General features: G+C 42.4%; 1 long non-coding RNA gene across 1 annotated transcript in view, besides 2 other annotated features; it reads left to right on the top strand.

Annotated features, from left to right (window-relative positions):
- Window positions 1-23,532, top strand: part of DYNLRB2-AS1 (DYNLRB2 antisense RNA 1) — a 407,178-nt gene that overhangs the window by 89,685 nt on the left and 293,961 nt on the right. The window lies entirely within an intron of this gene.
- Window positions 6,422-7,003: an enhancer, noted in NCBI's record as "OCT4-NANOG-H3K4me1 hESC enhancer chr16:80500345-80500926 (GRCh37/hg19 assembly coordinates)". NCBI's record gives its function as "activates a minimal SCP1, AML or CMV promoter by ChIP-STARR-seq in naive H9 embryonic stem cells {active_cell/tissue: H9 hESC(naive)}" and the evidence as "EXISTENCE:reporter gene assay evidence [ECO:0000049][PMID:30033119]".
- Window positions 7,004-7,586: an enhancer, noted in NCBI's record as "OCT4-NANOG-H3K4me1 hESC enhancer chr16:80499762-80500344 (GRCh37/hg19 assembly coordinates)". NCBI's record gives its function as "activates a minimal SCP1, AML or CMV promoter by ChIP-STARR-seq in naive and primed H9 embryonic stem cells {active_cell/tissue: H9 hESC(naive and primed)}" and the evidence as "EXISTENCE:reporter gene assay evidence [ECO:0000049][PMID:30033119]".

Below are 23,532 nucleotides of genomic sequence, written 5' to 3'. Positions count from 1 at the left end.
GGCTAACTTCATTTTGCAGGATTTAAAATTTTCATGTTTTCTCTATAAATATTTTGCGAAGTTGGGAGAAGCTGGATCAAGATTTCCCAGGAGGATATTCTTAGGAACGTTTACCATGTTTGTTACCTGAATCAGGCATTATTCGAAATGCAATACATTTGGAACTGGAGATACTATTTCAAGTTTAAAACTGAAGAACCCAAAATTCAGAGAAATAAAACAAGTTGCCTAGGCTCGCACAACAAATAACATGGCTCAGCTGGGGTTTGAAACCAAGTATTTTTGACTTCTAGATCTTTTCTTTGCCCCACAATGTAATCTTTTTTTTTCATGGAATGAAGCCTTTGGCCTTTTCTCACCTTCATGAATAAACATGAATATTGAGAATGAAGTACAAAATGGCATTTGCAGCTGCTTTGGGGGAACATGAGCATTATTCATAATTGCTGACACCTCTCATTAACTCATCAATCAATATTTTGAACAGCTATCCCCTGTCATATCTGTAGTGTAAAATTTAATTGAAATTCTACTTATAGATAGATATCTAGCAGATAAACATTCATATATGTGTCAAAAGGTATATACGAAATATTCACAGCAGCACTAATGGTAATAACCCTGAAGTGGAAACAGCACAAATGCCATCAGCAATAGGATGGATAAACAGATCATGCTATATTCACATAATGGAATACAATGCGGGAATGAAAATGAACTACCACGGTATGAAACAACATGGAAAAATCTCACATAGTATTGAGTGATAAAACCAGACCAGTAAGATTCCATTCATATCAATTATTTATTTACTTATTTATTTTTTTAGACAGAGTTTCACTCTTGTTGCCCAGGCTGGTGTGCAATGGTGCTATCTTTGCTCACCGCAACCTCTGCCTCCTGGGTTCAAGTGATTCTCCTGCCTCAGCCTCCCAAGTAGCTAGGATTACACGCATGCACCACCATGCCCAGCTAATTTTATTTTATTTTTTTTAGTAGAGATGGGGTTTCACCATATTGGCCAGGCTAGTCTTGAACTCCTGACCTCAGGTGATCCGTCCGTCTCAGCCTCCCAAAGTGCTGGGATTACAGGTGTGAGTTACTGCACCTGGCCTATTTATATCAATTTTTCTTTTTTTTGATGCAGTCTTGCTCTATCACCCAGGCTGTAGGGCAGTGGCGCGAACTCTACGCACTGCAACCTCCGCCTCCCGGGTTCAAGCGATTCTCTTGCCTCAGCCCCCCAGAGTAGCTGGGATTACAGGTGCATACCACCACGCGCAGCTAGTTTTTGTATTTTTTAGTAGAGATGGGGTTTCACCATGTTGGCCAGGCTGGTCTTGAACTCCTGACTTCAGGGGATCCTCCCGCCTCAGCCTCCCAAAGTGCTGGGATTATAGGTACAAGCCATCCCACCCGGCCCTATATCCATTTTTTAAAAAGAGGCAAAACTAACCCATGGTGGTAGAAGTCACAACAGCCATTACTTTTGTAGAAAGGAAGGACAATAACAGATAGTACAGAAATGGCTTTTTGGTGGTGTTAATGTTCTGTATCTTGAATTGGGTGTTTTTATACGTAGGTATTCACTTGTGATTTCTGAACTTTTCTTTTTTTATATTAAACCTCAATAAAAAGTATATAGAAAGGAGATAAAATCCAAGAGACTCATTTGAATTTTATTTGACTTTCAGCAACATTTAACTTTATTGAATACCCATTTTTTTTTTCTTAATGTGGCTCTTTGCTTGGCTTCCCCAATGCCATCCCCATCTTCCTCTCTGATCACTATTTTTGTCTCTTGCTGGGTCCTCCTCCTCTACCTATATTTTAAAAACTCTTTATTTTGACTTACAAGAAAGTTGCAAAAGTTTTACAAGGGAATTCCTATCTGCCCTTCGTCTATCTTCCTGGAATGTTAGCATTCTACATAGCCATAGTATAATTTTTAAAACCAGGAAATTGGTATTGACACTCATAACTGATCGGCAGATCTTATTCAAATTTCTTCAGTTGGTTCACTCTTGTCTTTTGCCTGGTTCAGACTTCATTCCGGGATTACACATTGCATTTAGTCATCATGTCATCTTAATATTCTCCAATCTGGGACAATTCTTCCGTCTTTCTTTGTATTTCATGACTTTGACAGACTTGAAGAGTACCCTCTTGTTATTTTGTAGTGTGACCTTTATTTTGGGTTTTGCTGATGTTTGCTTTAGTTTAGACTGAGGTTATGCACTTTTGGCAAGGAAATCACAGAAGTGATGCTGTGTCCTTCTCAGTGCATCAAATCAGGAGGCACATGATGTTACTATGTCTCATTGTTGTGAGATTAATTTTGATTATTTGGTTAAGGTAGCATCGACTTTAAAATGACTATTTCCCCTTTGTAATTAATAATTACCTCGGGGGAAGATTCTTTGAGATTATGCAAATATCCTGTTTTGAATCATACTTTTGCCCCCTAATTTCAGCATCTGCTGTTGATTCTACCTGCCTTTTAAGTAGGAGAGTCCCTTAGGGCTTGGTCCCAGACCGTCTTGTGGTTCTCCTTCCTCCATAGGAAAGCTCATGCACTCCACAGCTTCAGGTATGATCTAAATGCTGCTAACACCTGCAGCTGCATCTCCAGGCCAGTCTCCATGTTTGAGAACTCCACGTGGATGCACCCCAGCCACCCCTTTTCCCCCTCACTGCCAAGCTCATCTTGTGATCCCTGACACATGGTTCCTCCCACCCTACTCCTCTGCATGGTTACTCCCACCCTGCTCCTTCTTGAGGCTTCTCCATTTCATCACCTGTAATGACCTGCACCTAGTTACTCGTGTTAGAAAGCTGGGACTTACCTTTGACAAACTTCTCATCTTCATTCCCTACATTCAGTTCACCACCAATATCTGTTGACTCTATCTTTTTAATCTTCACATTTCTTTCCATGTCCACAGCCCATACCTAGTCTGAGTCACAGTCGTGTCCGCCCTGGACTGTTGCTTTACCTGGTAACTGATCCCTTGGTTCTTAGTATTTTCCTTCTAAGATGCTTTTTATGAGGCATCTAATGCAGTTCTATTTATACCTTTTTTTTTTTTTTTTTTTTCTTGAGATGGTGTTTCGCTCTTGTTGCGCAGGCTGGAGTGCAGTGGCGCGATCTCAGTTCACTGCAACCTTCGCCTCCTGGGTTCGAGTGATTCTCCTGCCTCAGCCTCCCAAGTAGCTGGGATTACAGGCACCCACCACAATGCCTGGCTAATTTTTGTATTTTTAGTAAAGATGCGGTTTCACCATGTTGGCCAGTCTAGTCTGGAACTCCTGACCTCAGGTGATCCACCCACCTTGGCCTCCCAAAGCGCTGGAAATACAGGTGTGAGCCACTACACCGGGCCTATTCCTCATTTTTATTATGTAGGAATTGTCATGGAAATTATGGTGACCCATACTTTGAGTTGTTATACAGCTATTGCAAATAATGAGCTAGTTATATACTAGGGGGACTTGGGAAAATTGAATGACTGACTGAATGAATGAATGAGAGGGAAGCAGAAGAACTTTGTTTCCTGGTATTCACGGCTCCAGGGGTACCTTGCCCAGGACTGGGACTAAGGGAGGCAAGTGAAGCACTTGTTCCAAATGCAAAATTTAAGGGGTCATGAAAAACACTCAATAGTGAAGATAATATTTTAATGCAATCTTTAAAAAATTTAATGCCAAAAAAATCCATGTTCAACAAAACATCAACATTTAAATAAAGACAGGGTCTTAAGATCATCACTCACCTCACCCTAACCCTGGCCCTCTCATTGTTAATGGAAGAATTCAGCTCATCAAATTGGGGTCACTTAGAACAGGACTTCACTAGGAGAGAGGGAGTGACTTTGCCCTTAAGGGGATGGTTGGCAATGTCTGGAGATATTTTGGGGTGTCATAACTGAGGGGGAGAGATATGCTACTGACATTTACTGGGTCGAGGCCAAGGATGCTACTAACACCCCACAGTACACCACACAGCCTCCCATGGCAAAGAATGATCTGGCCAAGGTTGAGAAGCCCTGCCTTACACATACTTATAAAATATTGCATCCTTGTGTTTAAAAGCTTTGCATAACTGGAAAGAATATATCAAGAAATGTTTGACAGAGTAGTAAACAATCTATGAGCAGTAGGGATATTCTTTTTAATTTTTTTTCTGTTGAAATAGAGTCTGGGGAGTCTATAAAGAACTATCGTGTTATTTCTACTTCTCAGGTGTTGAATTTCCCACTTCACACAAGTGTGCTGGGCTGAAGGAAGACCAGGGACTCAGTGGTCCAGGAGATCTGTCCCTGCATCTTACTGGAGAGTGACCACCCCCTACCCACTCCCAGCATGACTGAGGTTGAGAAACAGGCTTCCTCGGGAAGACCCATTCAAAGGCCATTGATTGACTTGTTTCTTAGAAAACAGGCCTCCCGCTCAAGTGAATATGGAGTGACTGGTTTTTGGAGAAATGGTTGTCTAAAAACAGAGCCTGTCTTTTGGTGTCCTTGTTTTGGCTTATTTATTTTACTTCCTGCCCATCTTCTTGGTTCATAACACCATCTCTTCCTCTTCTTGCTATTTTAGTCTTGGGAGAGGGAACAGTTTTCCCCTGTTGCTGATCCCAAGGGGCACCCCATTCTGTGTTTGTTCCCGGATCCCTGCCCATGCCTTGTATGTCATCTTGTTATTAAGGCCTCTTGTTTGTCATTTGAGCATCTGGGTTGAATTTTCTTGCTGCAAGCATCCTGATAGACAAACCCCTCTTCCAAGCTATGGCGACTCCTCTAATTTTATTTCCTGATCAGCCCATGTTTTTCTGTTATCTTACTTGCACTTCCAACTAGGCTGAGTTCTCCATGTCGTTAGTGGGTGACCACGGGCAGGGCTCTGCGATTCCATTTGTCTTTGCTTTATAATCTGGTAAACCAAGGTCATAATTATATGGCCTCTCTACCTCACAGGGAAAAGTCCAGCTATCTAAAGAAATCACATGTGCCAGAAAACTGTAAGGCACTACACAAAGCAAAGCTCCTATTACTCTTCCCATTTCTGCACATTTACACCAGGTTATCACGTCTGCTTTTGGAATCCCTCCCCCGTGAATCTTTAGTGATGTAGGAAGGAGGCCGTTCTTCTTACATTTGGAAGACAGATTCCAAGGCAATGTCACCTTGAGGTAGGTTGGAAAAGAGGCTAAATCCTGGAAATAGTACACATGTGTCCTTGGCACAGTTCTTCCAAGGGCCAGAGTGTTGAAATCTCTTGGTTGTTCATTAATATAACAGGCATATTTACTGATGAGCTCGCATGACCTGGCCCACGGATATGTATCCTGGTGCGTTAATCCGCTCGGGCTGCCATGACAAAATACCATAGACTGGGTGGCTTAAACAACAAAAATTTATTTCTCACAGTTCTGGAAGTCCAAGATCAAGGTCCAGCATGGCTGGTTTTCAGAGAAGTCCCTCTTCTTGGCTGGCAGACAGTTGCTTTCTTGATATGTCTTTGCACGGTAGAAAGAGAAAGAGTTCTGGTCATTTCTTCTTTCTTTTTTTTTTTTTTTTTTTTTTGATGGAGTCTCGCTCTGTCGCCTAGGCTGGAGTGCAGTGGCGCGATCTTGGCTCACTGCAAGCTCCGCCTCCCGGGTTCACGCCATTCTCCTGCCTCAGCCTCCCGAGTAGCTGGGACTACAGATGCCCGCCACCACGCCTATTTATTTATTTTTTTTTTGTATTTTCAGTAGAGACAGGATTTCACTGTGTTAGGCAGGATGGTCTCAATCTCCTGACCTCATGATCCGCCCGCCTTGGCCTCCCAAAGTGCTGGGGTTACAGGAGTGAGCCACCTCACCCAGTAGGTCATTTCTTCTTATAAGGGTGCTAATCCCATCATGTGGGCACCACCACCATAACCTCATCCAAAAGAAGCAGTTCCAAAGGCCCCATCTCCAAATACCATCATACTGGGGATTAGGGCTTCAACACACAAACTTTGGGAGACACAGTTTAGCCAGGGCACCTGTGGGCTGGGTATCTCATCACCTGCGGAACTTGCTAAAGTGCCAATTCTCACACCCACCCAGGGATTCTGACTCGGTATGTTTAGGGTAGGGTGAGATATTTTTGTATTTCAGTATACATGCTGTGTGTATCCAGTGTAGCTGGTTTCTGGAGCATCATGTAAGAAACTGTAGAAGTAACTTCAGGGCATGAGACTCGAGTTAGACAGGCTTGTGTTTTAATTTTGGCTGTCATCCTAGCTACCTGGGTGACCTAGCCCAGGGTACTCTGCATTGTTTCCGAGGGACTTAGTTTGTTCATCTGAAAAATGGAGATAGTACTAGCACCTTACCTCCTCTGGGGTTGCTATGAGGGTTAATTTTAAGCAACTGTTTAATTATTCCTTAAGTATTAGTTCATTAATTATTAATTATTCATTAATGCATGCAGAGTGCCTCGCAAATCTTAAGTGCTTTTTATTTGCAGCCATTGTCACCAACATCCAGAACGTAATCCATGACCTCTATCTTGGTCCTCTTTTTGCACCCGAAAGGATCTGTGCTTGGGTCAAGGACCGGTCCCTCCTGATGCCAAGTGAGGGAATGCTTTGCTGTCCCCAGGAGCGCCTACATTTGGTGGTGACGACCCTTAACACACTGCCATTTCTCTCCCTTAGCCACAGATCAGACAAAATGGGACTGGGCCAGGTTTTGCCTACCATGCTGTCCATAAAGGCACGGTTGACTTCTGTTTTCCAAATTTCAAATTTCTTCTTGGTAAGTTAACTACGTGCCCTCGTGAGACAATGGGCGGGAAGTGTAGCTCATCTCTCCTGGAGCCACAAGATGGCGCTGTTTCCTTTGTCATGGCCCGGCGTGCACCCCCATCCCTGCGGTTTCAGGGCCCGGGTGCCCTGCTCTCACGGCCAGGTCTCCCCGACAGGCAGAGGGCTCTGTCAGATCACGGAGTCCCCATCTTTGGGATGAGGGTAGGACAGTACAGTTTCTCAGTGGTAACCTAATGCCCCTATAGAGCATAATCAGGGTTGACCAAAGGAAAGGCTTTCCTTACTTCTAAACAGCTAAGCTGTCCTTTGCCCACAGTTCGGTCTGTTTTTGGAGAACTGTGCCCTGTGGCGCACAGAAGTCAAACAACTGAGACTTGGGCTTTCGTTGACTTTCATTTCTCTCTTTCTTATGTAAATGTACCCATCAGTGGCTTTTTGATAGATGAACTCACAACAATTACCCTCCGTAACATGAATGCAAAACACCTTCCCCACGATATTTGAAGTGCAAAGAGAATGGCCTGAGAGCAGAAACAGGCTGTAGGCAACATCCTCTGGTTCCTTACAGAGACAGGATACCAGGATTCAACCCTAGCCACCTTCGAGGTAATTCTCCACAACTTACCTGATACTGACAGCTGCAGGTTGCACGCCTTTAGAACCGCTCACTTGTCAGGGCTGTTTGCGTCCACCTTTGCTCATGGTCTATGGACAGGGACTATTTGTTCAGAAACCCCAAGTTAGGTCTTTATCTCTTCTCTACTGCATTGACTGCCACGCATTTTTGTGCAGGTGTTTTCTGTAATTAACTGCAGAGGATAGCACAATAGTTAGCATAACGTTAGGCATGAGGCCGGGGATGGTGGCTCACGCCAGTAATGCCAGCGCTTTGGGAGGTTGAGGTAGGAGGATCATTTGAGCCCAGGAGTTCAAGATCAGCCTGGGCAACATGGTGAAACCCCATCTCTAGAAAAAATAGGAAAATTAGCCAGGTGTTGTGGTCTGTGGCTGTAGTCCCAGTTACTTGGGAGGCTGAGGTAGGAGGATCGCTTCAGCCCAGGAAGTCGAGGCTCCATTGAGCTGTGATTGTGCCACTGCATTCCAGCCTGTGTGATAGAGACTGCATCTCAAAACAAAAACAAAAAACCAAATACCCCCATTTGGCATCAGCTGGTATGGCTTTGAGGCCTGGCCTTCTCATTTCTTTCCTCTGTGTTCTGGTTAAGCGACTTAATTACTCTGACCCCAAGTTGCTCTGTCTATAAAATGGTAATAATAACTATGTACATGTTAGATTTTTGTGATACATAAATGAGATAATATAGGTGAGGCACTAGGAACGATGTCTGGCATACTTAGTAGAAAATTTTATTATGTGACTTAGCTTTGTCAAATGGTCCCTAGAAGAGGGCAACTCAAGGAAGGGATGGAGGAAGGAGAGACAAGAGGTCTAAGTGGCACCCTTGGAATGGATCTCAAGATCCATCAAGATATAGACACGATTTAGAGTAAAGCAATAATACTGAGCTTCTTGAGGGCATCTGGACTGGAACCATGAGGCTGGGGCAGCCAGCCACTCAATCTCATTTTAGATACTGCTGGTGAGCATACAAGTTGACCCTTTAATGAAAATGCTATCTGGGCATGTGTATGTATGAGTGTGTGTGTGCAAGTATTCATATGTGTGTTTTTCTTTCTCCTTCTCACCCCACATTCTCTGTCCTTGGCATTCATAATTACTCATCATCCTCCATTGTACTTCCCTGCCTTTCCCCCATGCTGCTCTCTCTGCCAAATCATCTCTCTTCTCTCCCAGGATCATCTCTCTCTTTCTCCCAATTTGCAAGGCCCAGCTCCAACATGGCCCTGTTCTGAGGTCTTTCCCAAGCTCCCACCGTTCCTTGCTCTCTTCTCTGTGCTACTTTAGCCAGCCCTACACCTCCATCCCTCCAGGAGCAAATGCCTCCTTGAATTTTGTCCCCTAGGTGCTGTTACCTTTCTCCTGGCTCAACTGCAATTAGAGGATTTTAGAATTAAATTACATGGTAGTAGAAATAATATCACTAAGTATAATACATTTTTAATGCAAAACCAAAACCAAAACACCCAAACATGACAGACATTCCACCTCTTTCTTCATCTAATCCACATTCCCACACCCTTTTTTGGAATGGGAAGGGGGCATTTACCATTATCTATTTCCAATCCTTCCTTGCAGACTTTTTGCTATTGCATTTTTGTGTGTGCCTGTGTCTGTTTATCCTTGGATCTGTAGTACTTTTTACACACCATGACGACAACATGATTGCATGATGTTGAGTGTTCTATGTCCATATCATTCTTACCCAATAGGCTACAAGGTATTAAAGGTCACCAACTGTATTTTATTAATCTTTTTATCTCCAGGAACCAACACCGAGGCAGGCACAAAAAGACTGTGTTTCCATAGGTAACTGAGTAGAAAACAAGTGTGGTTGAGTGTGTGCACATGGGTGTGAGGTGGGAAGAAACAGAAAATCACAGAGGAAGGTTTAATTGGAGTGTCATTTCCCCTTGTTGGCTGAAATTCCCAGAAGACATCTTGGATCTCTGCAGAAGCTGCAAGAAAGGGCAAGGTTGGAGTGAGCAGCTGAGCAGAACATTGAGTTAAGTGCAGGCACTGATCCTTGAAAGGCCTGGCTCATCCAGGGAGAGAGGGCGACTCAGAGGGTGCAGGATGTGCATCTGCAAAACCTCCCGGCTGGAGCTGCGCATTAAGATTTGCTTGGTCATTAAGATTCAACGGGAGAAGCAGGGTCTCCCTGCCTGTCAGGTGACTGTTGAGAATAGGCTGTGTCGGTACGGATCTGAACACTATGAAGGACTTAGGAGCTACATCTCAAAACCTAGGGGGGAAAATAGTGCAAAATGGCTTTTGTTATTAGAGGTGTATTTTATTGCCTGAGGTTGGAAGGCTGTTTGCAGGTGGGAAATGTGTTCTCCAGGATCTTCCCCACAGGTGGTGCAGGTCTTCTGTATTTCCAGCCTGTCTCCTTCCCTATTAATCATTCTGATTCTCTCATCCTGTGCAGATGTCATGGGCCTCTGTATCTGAAGACTTTATCGGTGTTTATCTTGTAGCTTTTAATAAATCATTTACTGATGGTGTGTGATCCAGGGTGTTTTACATGAGTGAACGCCACCCTGGCCTCACCTTGCTGCATTCCTGTGACATGTCAGTGTGACTTCTGTTCTGGCTCCCTCCCTGAAACTGGAGCTAGAAAAAGGGAGTGAAATTGCTGTCTCAAAAAGCTTGTTTTGGGACAAGGGTGAACTTCACTTAATCTAATTATCTATAGTCATTATTGTATCAGAGGATGCACATTAAAGCAGAAACGGTTGCTGCAAGAGACTAGCACAGACCACGGAAAAGAAATTTGCTCTTCAGTGAGGGATGCACTTCAATCTGTCTCCTGCTCTCTTGACTCTTTTTGGTTTATGGTATGTTCTAAACCAGGGAGTGGCAAACTATTCTTGGGCCACCAGCCCGCCTCCTGCTCTGTAAATAAAGCTTTATCGGAACACAACCACAGCTATTTGCTCACGTATTATCGATGGTTGCTTTTCCAGGTATAATAGCAGCATTGAGTAGTTGTGACCCTCTGGCCTGCAAAGCGTAAAATAATTATCATCTGCCCTTTTACAGAAAAACTTGTGAGGGCCCCTGTTCTAGATATTTCACAGTTACCATCAGTGGGTGGTGATGCCCTGTCTGTGTCCTAGGGGTCCTCCAATCTGTGCCACAATTCTGAAGAAAAAAGTGTCAGGGACAATAGTACTTATGCCCATGTGAATGTCTACATGCACACATATGTGTATATGTGTTTATAATGTATAGGTGTGTGCCTGGGTGCAGGGGGGAAATCTTGAAGGGTGTACACCAAGCATGTGAACAGCAGTCATCTGGGTGGCAGGATTCTGTGTTGTCTTTCTCACGAGTGTATATTTTTGAGGTTTTCTGCGATCACTGTATATTTTGTATACGGCAGCAGCAACAACAATGACACAATCCTTCCTTCTTTTGTTACCTGATTTTCCCTGTATGGTTGGTGACAGTAAAGTTATGTTCCCATAATGAAATTGAGCAGGGAAAATGTCCTTTGTAGTTGAGAACTTAAGAAGCATTTGGTGACATCTGAGCACATGATCCCTCCTCCCCTGACACAAGGAGAATGAGCAATTATAGCTGTTTTGACATTAAATTTGAAAACAAAATGAATTTACATATGTACATACACGCATCTACATGCATTTGTACGTGTATATAAAATTTCCTTTTTATTTCCCCTTTCCTGTGCAACATTTCTCTAGTTTCTCTTCATTTATTATAATTACTTTTGGTAGCCTACAGATGCCAGTTGTAAGTCAATGGCTTTGGAAAAAATAAGAACATCTTTACAAAATATTTTTTGAAGAGCATGCATTCCTTCATAAGTTAGCAGCTACAGAAAGTAAAGACCACGTTTGCTTGCTCCTGGGAAATTTGCATCTGGGAATTCTTTGGAAACCGGACAAGGTCCCTTAAACTGTCTGTTCCTTGCTGCATGAACACTACATCAGGCACAACGGAAAATGGAAACCTAACTGCCTTTCCATGTTTTCTTTCTTTTTTTCTTAAATGCAAGCTTTGAAGGATCAAAGTCATGAGGACCAGCCAGGATTTGGGCTTGTTCCTGCCTCCCAAGTCAGCATAGCTGGGTGCAGAGATGGGTCAGGTGGTTCTTAAAACAGGTGCCTGAGTGCTGCCCTGGGACACTTGTACATTTAGGGGTGGGCAAGAATACTGCTTGTATTAGTCTGTTTCCAAACTGCTATAAAGAACCACTTGAGATGGGGTAATTTATAAAGGAAAGAGGTTTGACTTAGTTCTGCATGGCTGGGGAGGCCTCAGGAAACTTACAATCATGGTGGAAGGTGAAGGGGAAGCAAACACCTTATTCACATGGCGGCAGGAGAGAGAGAATAAAGAAGTGTCTCACTTTTAAACCGTCAGATCTCATGAGAACTCACTCTGTGTCATGAGAACAGCATGGGGGAAACTGCCCCCCACGAGCCAATCACTTCCCACCAGGTCCCTCCCTTGATAAGTGGGGATTACAATTTGAGGTGAGATTTGGGCGGAGACACAGAGGCAAACCCTATCACTGCTCATACTCCTTAATCTTTATTCAATTTGTTCTCCCTTTGTAAGACTCCAAAGAGAGTCCTGACTCCACAGCTACAGGTATGGCCAAGTGGTGGTGGCTGGTTGTGCAGAGGAGCTTGGTTTGATTCAGAATCTGCTTCCCTAAACCATTTGGATCTGTGAGGGTCCTGACATGAGGTGTGCCTCTCTCTCAGTGCAAATGAATAGGTACACATTGGCAACTCTGCATCCCAGGATATCATTCCACAGCAGCGAGACTCACCTGGCAGAGGCCCTGGTTTAACAGACATACTGGCAGGAAACAGAGCTAGGGTATCCTCTCTCTCTCTCTGGATTCTGGCAAGAGTTGAAGAGGATCAGAGTACTGGATGTAGAAGGTTTTAAGCAACCCTACTTATGCCCTTTTAGATTGGTTAGTTCATTTTCTAATAGATTCCCTTTTGTTTGAGCACCCTTTCTATGCCAGCTTTGGTGATAGATGGGACCTTTTTATCCCTCACCACTTCCTAACCCCACATTCGGGTCCCCAGGTTTATTCTGTTCCTCTACACTTTTGTCAAATAATCCCCTTTCCTCTATCTGAGGATGCCATCCCTTCTCTGACCTTATCTCTAATTATTCAAAACCAAGTTCTAGGTTTGGGTGTCATGTCTTTGTCTTCCAGGAATCTTCCCTAAAGCCACCTGTTCTGGAGTCAAAGCCAGATACCAGTTGTAAGTCAATAGCTTTGGAAAAAAATGAAACCTTTAAAAAATACTTTTTGAAGGGCATGCATTCATTCATAAGTCAGCAGCTACAGAAAGTACAGACCAGGTTTGCTTTCTCCTGGGAATTTCCTGGAGACCAGACAAGGACACTTAAATCCTCTGTTCTTTGCTGCATGAACACTGAGTCAGGCACAGGTGAAAATGAAAATCATTATTTCCCTCCATGACATGCTCTCACGGGTTCCTCTCCATGCCCCACCAGAGTTCTGGGCTGTAGTGATAGTCTTTCCACAGAAACGGTGTACCTGGAAGAGGTAGGAGAACAAGAAAGAAGAAAGAGACAGAACAACTTGTGATTGCCATATATTAGACTCTTGTCATACATTTTTTTTCCATTTAACTAACCAAAGAAGCCTGTGATGAAGTATTTATTCCTCTATCTTACTGATGAAGAAAGTCATAGTGATGTAAAACCATTTAGTCCAGAGTGAGTCACAGTATGGCTGAGGTTAGAACCATCTCTACCCGACTTCCAGGCTCATGGCCTTCCTTTTAGGTCACATTTGTTTCTGGTGCTTAACAGAGGGAGGGAGGAATAAGGCGGGCGGAAGGAGAATAGTTCAGGAGGAATCAGGCACATGAAGACATGCCAATTTATGTGATCATGTGTCGTGCTAGGAGGATGTGATAGGGACGGTGTTGGTGACATAGAGAAGTGTTCAGCTCTGCCCAGCAGGGCCCTGAGTTGGGGGTCATAGTGCTCAGAGATGGGGAACAGCAGGAAAACCTTCAAAGAAGGAGTAATACAAACATGGAGGAATTGCTTATACTTTTAATTTCCAATTGAAAATGAAAAAGCAGAGTATGTTTTGTTATTTTTTTTCACCTGGAAGTTTACTGAGAAATAAAAATAGTCTTGGTGTCTTCTGATTCCAAATTCTGAGTTTCAGAGGCAGGGAGAATGTTCCCTTCTGTTGGCAGTGGGGATGGTGACAGTCCCAGATATTGGTATGAGCCCCAAGGCCCTAATAAAGATTTGCTCTCTGGTTTTCCTGCCAGGTCTGATACGCTTCCATTTCCCAATTGAAAACATACTTAATTGCGACAGGCTTTTGGCAGGGATGAGGTATTCACCAGGTTCAAATCATCACACTGGAAACAGAAGAGTCAATATTCCAGTTTAAAGAGTTGAGCTCAACCTCTCTTGGAAGAGCCCTCCCTGGTCCTCCACCCACCTTTCCCTGAGGACTTGATTCTCTCAACTGGAATAGTCATCTCTTTATCACACCAGGGCGCTTGGGAGGCCATTATGTGGGATTTCTGGAATGAAGCTCTTATTGGAAGCAGCAGCTTCCTCCCCTATCCTCCTCCTCCAGGAACCTGTGGAATGTGATTTTCCATTTGAGAATCTGATCTGCATTTGGCTGGAGTGTTTCTCTTTACTGGGGACTGTATTCTGCAGGTCTCCATTCAACTTCCTTAAGAAAGCCCATTGCTTCTGTTGTTTTGGCTGTGTGTATGGGTAGAATTGTGAATTGAGCTGATTATCTGAAAAATGTAGGCTCCAAAGCTTTCGGCTCTGTGTGTCTAGAAAACTGAGCCAATGATAAAGTGTTCGAGCTAGAGGCTTGCAACCACTTTAATCAACCACCTTGTCATGTTACAGATGGGGATACTGAGGCTCTGAGGGAGGTAGGTATTTAATCAGCAGCTCACAGAAAATTGCTAGTTTATTCTATATTAGAAGCTTGGCCTCTATTTCCAAGTCTGTTCCTGGCCCCTTCCTTTCTCCTTGGGTCCTTGTATCACTCTTGCAAACATTTTCCCTTTAGGTCTGTCTGAGTTGGTGAGTTGGGACTCCAGGATACAAGTATTCTGGGGGATTTTGTCCTTTTCTGGCTAATTTTTGTGTCAGGGCATGGAATGAAACAACCCAAGCCAGACTCCAAGTTCCAGGTACATCACAAGAGGGTGCGCGAAAGAGTCTGGAGTTTGAACCAGGGAAGACTTGGGCACGAGCAAAAACGAGGACTATGAAGCTAGGGTCAGGTCACTTCCCTTTTCTGACATCTTGGTTTTCTCATCAGTACCTTGGTTTTCTCATCAGTACCTTCCTGGTGGGAGAGTTGTAAGGCATAAATGAGAGAATTTGGGAAAGGCTTGGCACCATTGTGCTTGCTCCATACATGCTGGCTGCCTCTCTTCCAATTTCGAGATTTCTGAAACCTTGGGAGTGTAATAATGAAACTGCCTTTGCAAAAATTATGGCAGTAAGAGAAATTTGACATAGCAGACTCTATGCTTCTAACCTCACAAGCTAACTCCTTTTGCCCACTCCTAGGCATGGGCTAACTTAACTATGGGAGAAATGTAGTTTATAGTTTAACCTTAAGGATGATAATAGCTCTTCCCAAAACTAGCCACTTCTTGTTTGTGGACCCACTTTTGTAAAACCAATGGAAGGTCACAAGATTAGAATTATGGGATGGGCCTGAATTTGGCTAAGACATCTGCATAGTTAAATGATAACTAGTCATTGCTTCCTACTTGTTGACTGCTCAGGTGTCACATGGCTGGTGGTCACAAGATTTGTAAGTTCCCTAATTGCCCCTATAGATAACATTGCTATTGTAAAACCAAAGACTGGTGTTTGAGATATTTTTCAGACCTTGCCTTCTGGTAGAAAAAGCAATGTCACCCTGACCAGTGACCCCTACCCAGGAACTGAGTCAGCACACAAAGACAGCTCTGACACTCCTATGATTCCATCCTCAACCAACCAGAAGCACCCATGCCCTACTTTCCTGCCCACGAAATTATCCTTAAAAAACCCTAGCCTCTGAGCTCTTGGGGAGATGGATCTGAGAAATATCTCTCCTCCTGTTGCGCAGCTGCCTTGCAACAATTAAACTCTTTCTTGACTGCAACAGTATTATCTCAGTGAATTGGCTTTATCTATGTGGCAGGCAAGAATCCATGGGGTGGTTACAATAAGACAGAGAAAAAGGGGAAAGGGGGTATATGTTGAGCATCTACTGTGTGCTATGTTGTATGCTGTTGGAATAATCTTGTAATTAACCCTGGCGTGTTCTTCAGAGTAGAAGGAAGGAGTGGTAAAATCTTTCTCTAATAGCTTTTATGTTTGGCTAATCATGTACACAAATAGATTCCATGAGAATGTTAAAACAGTCTTGAAGTTGGTCCAAATTATATATTCCAACCCTAACCAAGGCCAAGACAGTGAAGATGAAAGAGTGGCTGCTCAACTGGCTGTCTCATCCCTCCACAGGAGCTTGGAGACACTTAGGTTTCCCTGTGTGCTTTAACCTGTTTGCTCGTGTCCACCTGCTCCCAATTCAGCTCAGCCTTTGACATGGGTAGCTAGTGAGGCACTAGATGGCTGTTGGGTGGGCAAGGTGGGAGGAGTGTGTCACAATTAACCTCTTCTTAGCACACTTGGCATAAGTGCTTGTGTCCAAAGAACCTTTCTCTCTCTTTCAACCTTAAGCTTCAATGCCAAAGACTATGACAGCGGAGGGAAGGGAGAGGAAACAAAACCTGTGGTCCGTTCTCCATGTCACTACAAGTGACCTCATTTAGAACCCATGAGAGATTTATAGATGAGGAAAGTGAGATTCAGTGAGCTTACACAACGTGCCCAAGGCCACATGGATAGAGTTGAATTCAGAGTTGAATTTTGAATGTGCTTTTTTTTTTTTTAGTTCTTATTTTAAAGGCTGCATCTTTGTCTTAGCAACCCAGCCTTAGCTTTGGATTTCCATAGACCTGTGTTTGACTGTTATGTCATTTTGAACAAGCCGAGTTTGTATTTGGAAAATCAAATCCAGTGAGAATGCCTGTATGCTTTACATCTTTGTGTTAGTTGGCTTGGGCTGCTCTAACAAAATACCACAGAGTAGGTGGTTTAAACAACAGAAATATATTTTCTTGGAGTCCTGAAGGCTGGAAAGTCCAAGATGAAGGTTTTGGCAGAGTTCAGTTTCTGGTGAGGACTTTCTTCCTGGCTGATAGACAGCCCCCTTCTTGCTGCATCCTCACATGGCGAAGAGAGAGAGCCCTAGTGTTTCTTTCCCTTTTATAGCGCACCACTTCTATCAGAGCAGCGGTTCCCCCTTATGACCTCACTTAACTTTTTTTTTTTTTTGGGGGGATAGAACTTCACTCTTGTCACCCAAGCTGGAGTGCAGTGGCACGATCTAGGCTCACTGCAATCACTGCTACCACTGTCTCCCAGGTTTAAGCAATTCTGCCTCAGCTTCCGGAGTAGCTGGGATTACAGGTGCAGCCAACACGCCTGGCTAAATTTTGTATTTTTACTAGAGAGGTGGTTTCACCATGTTGGCCAGGCTGGTATTGAACTCCTGACCTCAGGTGATCCGCCCGCATCAGCCTCCCAAAGTGCTGGGATTACAGGTGTGAGCCACCAAGTCCTGCTGACCTCACTTAACTTTAATCACTTATTTAAAGGCTCTGTCTCCAGTATAGACACATGTGGGGTCAGGACTTCAACATATGAATTTTAGAAGGACACAAACATTTAGTCTATACAATCTTTATGTTGGGAGTTCAGAGAATTAGACATGATGTTAGATTATAGATTTTGATCACAGCCTTCTTAAGGGTTATGAAGCCCAGCTACAAAAAGGGGATGGCAGGGAGAGAGAGTTGGTGAAAGCATTTTCAGGAAAAGCAAGTCTTATCTGAGGCATTTTCCCCTGATTTTGTTTTACCATCGGGAAGCCCAGACCCATTGTCTTGCTCCATTCACTTCTGGCTCTGTTTTTATTCTCCTGACTTGATTTTGCAATTTGTAAGTAAAGGAGTTAGCACTACTTTGGAATATGCTAAATGATGTGAATGTTGCCTATTATTCTCCTATCTTGTTATAATGCACTTATTAGTGCAGTTAACTAAAAACTTCCAGATCTCCCCCAGCCCCATTCTCGGAGCAAGGTAGCTAGCATTTCTAGCCCACCATGAGTAATGTGTCGTTATGTAACTTGCTTTGGCCAATGAGATAGGAATGGAGTTGATGCACGTCATTTCAGGTAGAAGCTTTAAGAGCCAGTACGCGATCTAGCCACCTAACATTTCCCTCACTCATTACAACCAGCAAGCTCCAGACGGTCCTACGGGAAGAACAGAGTCCCCAGCCATAGACACGTAGCATGAGCAGGAAATAAATCTTATTGTTTCAGTCCACTGAGACTCTGGGCTGGTTTGTTACTGCAGCATAACCTAGTTTATCCTGGCCGGTTCTCTGCCGCAGACTCAACATGTCGTCCTGTCTACACTATGAGCCTGAAATCATTCAGCACCCGAGGATTATGTGCCGCCTGGTTTATCAGAGTTATCTTAATGAGGCTATCTACCAGTTGTTGAGAACTCCTCATTTTTAAGTTGTGGGCTTCGGGCTTTGACTTCCATTATCTCACTGAAGGCATAGGATAACTTTGTTAAGTAGGTGCTACTCTTCCACTTTGCATAAGAGGATACTAAGAATCTTAGTGTTGAAAGTATGTTGCAACAACAGACACAACTAGGAAGTGAGTTAGGTCTCAAGCTCAGATTCTTCCAACTCAAAAGCTCGTAGGGTTCTCATGATGGTACACTGCTTTTTTCCTCTTCTCAGGTGTGTGCTGGTGCTTAGACCTCTGCATCAGGGCTTGAACTATCAGCTAATCAAAGACTATAAATCATCTAGTCCAAGGGTTGGCAATCTATGACCTGTGGCCCAAATCTGGTTTGCTGCCTGCATTTATAAATAAAGTTTTATTGGCACACAGCCATTCATTTCCCTGTTATCTATGGCTGCTTTTGCGCTCCAACAGAGGAGTTGAACAGTTGCAGCAGAGACTCTCTGGCCCACAAAACCTAAGGTATTTGCTATCTGACCCTTGGCAGAAAAGGTTTGCTGACCCCTGATTTAGACTATGCTTTGTTTGAAAAATTAGGAAACTGAGACCCAGAGAAGTGCACATGTATTAAAATAGAGAATTACTTTAATGCAAATCTATGGATAATGAACCATTAGGCATAAAAAAAATTCAGGGTTTATATGAATAGTCACTCTAAAATTATATAATTTTAACTTCTCTCTGCATGAAGAGAGTGTTTGTGCTTTTCTCAAAGTTAATATTTTATTTTTCAATAACCCTAATAGAGATGAAAATTTTTTAAAAATCCACTTCTGAATTCGTTTGCAATGAATTCTACTAATATTAGTTGGGACCATATGCCATTTATGGCATTGTCCCTATTTCAGTTCATTTGTCCTTATATCATGAGCATTTCCCGTGTCATTAACATTTTTCATAAATGTAATTACTGATGGTTGCATAACATTCTGCTCTATAAAAATGCCATGATTTATATAATCATTATAATATTTTTAGATTTTTGTTTTACATTATGCTGAATCTTTATATATAAATCTGTCTACGTTTCTATATTTTTTTCTTGGCATAGATTCCTAGAAGTAGAATTCCTGGCCAAAGCATAGAATGTTTTAACGGTCTTGATTTATTTTATAAATTTCTTTTCAAAAGGATTGTCTAACTTATATTCTGCCTTGAGAAGGAAGATGTTTGTCTTACTATACTCTCTGAAGTATATTGTTACATTTTAAGTCTTTCCTATGACAATATGTAAATATTTTATTTTTGTTTTAATCAGCATTTATCACCATTCAAGATGAATTTTTTTCATGAGATGGTTTGTATTTTATTTTCTGAAAAGACTCCATTCTCATTATTTGCCCTTTTGTTGAGAATTCAAAATACTGTTAGAACTTCCCTTGATCTACTTATTAAGTAGTTTTGTTGATCAGTTCTACTATTGTCGTTTGTTATTTATTTATTTTTTTTGAGATGGCATCTTGCTTTGTTGCCCAGGCTGGAGTGCCACTGCATGATCCCACTTCACTGCAACCTCTGCCTCCTGTGGTCAGGCGATTCTCCTGCCTCAGCCTCCCAAGTAGCTGGGATTACAGGCGTGCACCACCACACTTGGTTAATTTTTGTATTTTTTGTAGAGGCACGGTTTCACCATGTTGGCCAGGCTGGTTTGAAGCTCCTGACCTCAGGCGATCTGCCTGCCTTGGCCTCCCAAAGTGCTGGGATTACAGGCATGAGCCACTGAGCTCTGCCTGTTAATGTTTTAAAATTGGGTTGAAATGGTCCTTTCTGACCATAACCCTCAACTCCATCCCATCCTGTTCCTTCACCCTCCTATAAGTGTGATTTTGCCATTGTAATGATCTGGTTTCCTCACCTCAATCCTGCTCCCTCAGGCTAGTAAGTTCCTATGCAAACTGCAAAGCATCGTGTATATGGATGTTGTTACTGCTTAACCATGACCCCGTGTGTAGCCACTTCAGCATCACCTTAACAGTCTTATTGCCTTGACCTTTCATTGCTTCCCTCTGGCCAATCTCAAATCTCCAATAAACCCATCTAATGTTTTTGGTGTCAGAACACTTCTAGAAAGAGTCTTGAAAATGCAATCATTCAATGCACTTATTTGACACATACTCTTCGAGCATCTACTATGTGGCTGGCACCATTCCAAGGGTTTGGTTTATGCCCGTAAAAAAGACCACTGCTGTCATAGAGCTTGCATTCTATGGAGAGATACAGTAATGAGTAAACATAATAAATCAGTATATTAATTATAAGTGCTGTAAAAAAAGAAAAAGCAAAGAAAAAGTAGAGCAAAAGGTAGTGGAACAGTGTTTGCGGTATTCAGTGGCCCAGTCAGGTTAGTTTTCAGTAAAAAACTGAAATTTGAGCAAAGACTTAAGGCTGATAAAGGGAATAGCTGTGTGATATCTAGAGGAAGAGCATTTCAGATGAAGAAAGTGGCCCTATGCTGGCCTCAAGGTGGGCATATCTGGTGTGTCCAAGGGTCAGTAGGAGGCCAGTGGCTAGAGTGCAGCAATAGTGAGGAAAGATGATAGAAGATAAAGGCCAAGAGCTTAAGAGAGAGTCTAGATCATGTAAGGTTAGTCCAAAAAGTATGAATTTTACTCTGTGTGAAACAGGAGGGGTGAGAATGATCACAGCATCTTGGATATGGGAATGGCTCGATTTAACTCAGGTTTTAAAAGGACCGCTCATGTTGCTATAGTGAGGAGATTCTGTAGAGGTACACAGATAGAAGTTGTACAACTATTGAAGTACTGGTGTGGAGTTGAGGGTAGCTTGGTTCAGGGTGGTGGCTCAGTAGTGAAGGTGGGGAGACGTGATCAGATTGTAGATACATTTTGAAGGTATAACCAACTAGATCTGCTGCTAGACTGGATATAAGTTCTTAGAGAAAGGGAGAAATCAAGAATGACTCCAAGGTTTTTGACATGAACAACTGGTAGGATGAGGCTGTCATCAACTGAGATGGGGAAGATTATGGGAGTAGCAGGCTTTGGGGTTAAAGTTTGGGAGTTGCTTTTGGACACATTGTATGTGAGATGTCTAGTTAGGGTTTTAGGCATGGATGTTGAGTAAGCAGTGTAGGGTGGGTTTCAAGAGGAAGGTCTGAGCTAGAAATATAAAGCTGGGGGGACACTAGGATAGATAATATATAAAGACATTGGAGTGTATGAGATCCCAAGGGAGTGAGTGCAGCTAGAGAATGACTAGCTCCTCTGCAGTTTACTGTACTCTGGTATCAGTTGGATTCTGTGTGCAGATTACTAATTCTTTTGCCTGTTCCTTGACTTGTTAGCTCTGTGCTGTTTAATCTGGGTTTTGACTCCTGCCAAGAGTTACAGGGAAGACTATATGATGCTGCATGCTCTTTGTCTTTCTGAAGCTTGTATATGATTTTAAGAACTCAGAAAAAAGTTTATTTGAAAATTAATTCTCTTAGAGTAGCATGCACATCCATTTTTTAAAGGAAAAGACAATCTTTTAAAGAAAATTTATGCTTTTTCTAGGATTCCTGTAACATCTCTAAGTTGGTCAAAGCTTGTAGGTTAGGAGTACTAAGGTGGAACATTAGGGACGTGAACTCATTCATTCTCCGTAGCAGAAGAAAGCCCTGGGTTAACACTTTTCAATTTTTCATCTCACTTGACTGTAGAACTTTTGATTGTTTCTCAAATCAAATCTTTCTCCCTTATGACATTTCTAACACAACACAGACTCTGAAAGAATATTCCAAGGAATGAATTAACATGGTATGGGCCATGGCAGTACCCTTATAATAAATGTGTGGTTCCCTATGGTGACAGTGCTCTTTGGATGTATGATTTTTGGGATCCATTGGTTAAAAATACAGTTTCAGGACTTCATACTTACATTTAGTATAACTTGATTTATCTTTGCAATTTTCACAGTCATATATGCATTAAAATTTTAGCCTCTTATATAGAATACCCATCAGCAAAAGAGGGCAGAAGCCAAGAGATCCAGGAAATAATGTATCCCACTTAGAAGAGTAATGAGGAGAAGTCCCGAGATGGAGCTGGGTTATGTTACTACCACACCATTTGCTTACATGGAAACAGAAGGATGAAAAGTTCCCATAGGGAGATAATCTGGGGAGAAAGGCTTTGATACGTTTTTGAGGCACTAGAAATACTTAAGGATTTTATAAAGACAAATAGTTGGAGAAGAATAGAAAGGCAATTAAAAACTCCATGAAAAACAAAAAGCTATACAGGCAGAGCAATGTTATTATTATGCTCTACTTAGCTTGATAAATCACTCTTACAGAGAAAGCCTTGTTTTTAATCATACAGCAAGATCCTTTTAGAGCAAAGTATGTTCTCAGGGTAAACCAACATTTTTTGAGCATCCATTGTGTGTCAATGCCTTCTTGAACGTAATCACCTTTTATGAAATACTAACAGCTTCCCTCTGTGATAACTATTTTCCATTTTACAGTGGCAAAATGGAAATATTTTGTGTTTTACAGTGATAACAACTCAAACAGAGAAGATAAGAAACTGGACCCAAATTGTGCAGCCACTTAGTAGCACATCTGGATTCAAACCCAATCTGCATGCTTTGAAAGCCCCTATTTTCTTCTACCTGTGCTGTGCTCTTTCCCAAGGTTTGGGCAGAACAGTTACAGAAATGACTGTGACCCACTTAAGTACTATAGGAATAATCAGCATTTTAGTAATAAATATTGATTAACAATGATATAAATAGTAACCAAAGCTACCCAAAATGAAAGCACAATTCACAACCCTAGCTGATGTATATAAATTAATGATTAACCGATTATTCCACTATAGTAATATTGAAGATAGCATTTATTACAGTCTTGAGATCGATGGTTCTCAACTGGGGGAGACTTTGCCCCAACAGAACATTTGGCAGTGACCGGAGGAGGACTCCTGGCACCTAGTGGATGGAGATCAGGGATGCTGTCAAACATCATGCAATGCATGAGACAGCCCCCATCCCCACACAAAAAACTGTCTAGCCTTGAGTGTCAGTAACACTGAGGTCAAGAAGTCCTCCCCTAAATAAAGAGTATATGGAGAGAAAGGCAACAAATGCAACTTGATTAATATGTGGACTCTTTATTCTTTTTTCCTCCGAAAGATAATTGAGTTTTTTCAGTGAATATATGTTTTCTGATCTTATTTAGCAGTGCTTTGATATGCAAACAAGCTATTTATACTAATGTGGATAAATTAACTACCTACTGATCTCCTGTCAAGGCTCAGTTATTTATAAAGTGTGTTGGCAAGAGGTCTGTGTATCCTCAGCATGTGGTAGGTTGTGTATACATATAGGCTGCTGCTGTCTGTGTGTGCACGTGTGTGTGCGTGTGTGTGCATATGTGTGTGCTCTTGCTGGTTTTGAT

This window comes from Homo sapiens, chromosome 16 (genome assembly GCF_000001405.40).
Source record: "Homo sapiens chromosome 16, GRCh38.p14 Primary Assembly".
NCBI classification, from domain to species: Eukaryota; Metazoa; Chordata; class Mammalia; order Primates; family Hominidae; genus Homo; species Homo sapiens.
The sequence above is the reverse complement of the archived record's forward strand: the minus strand, read 5'-3'. Positions and strand labels throughout refer to the sequence as shown.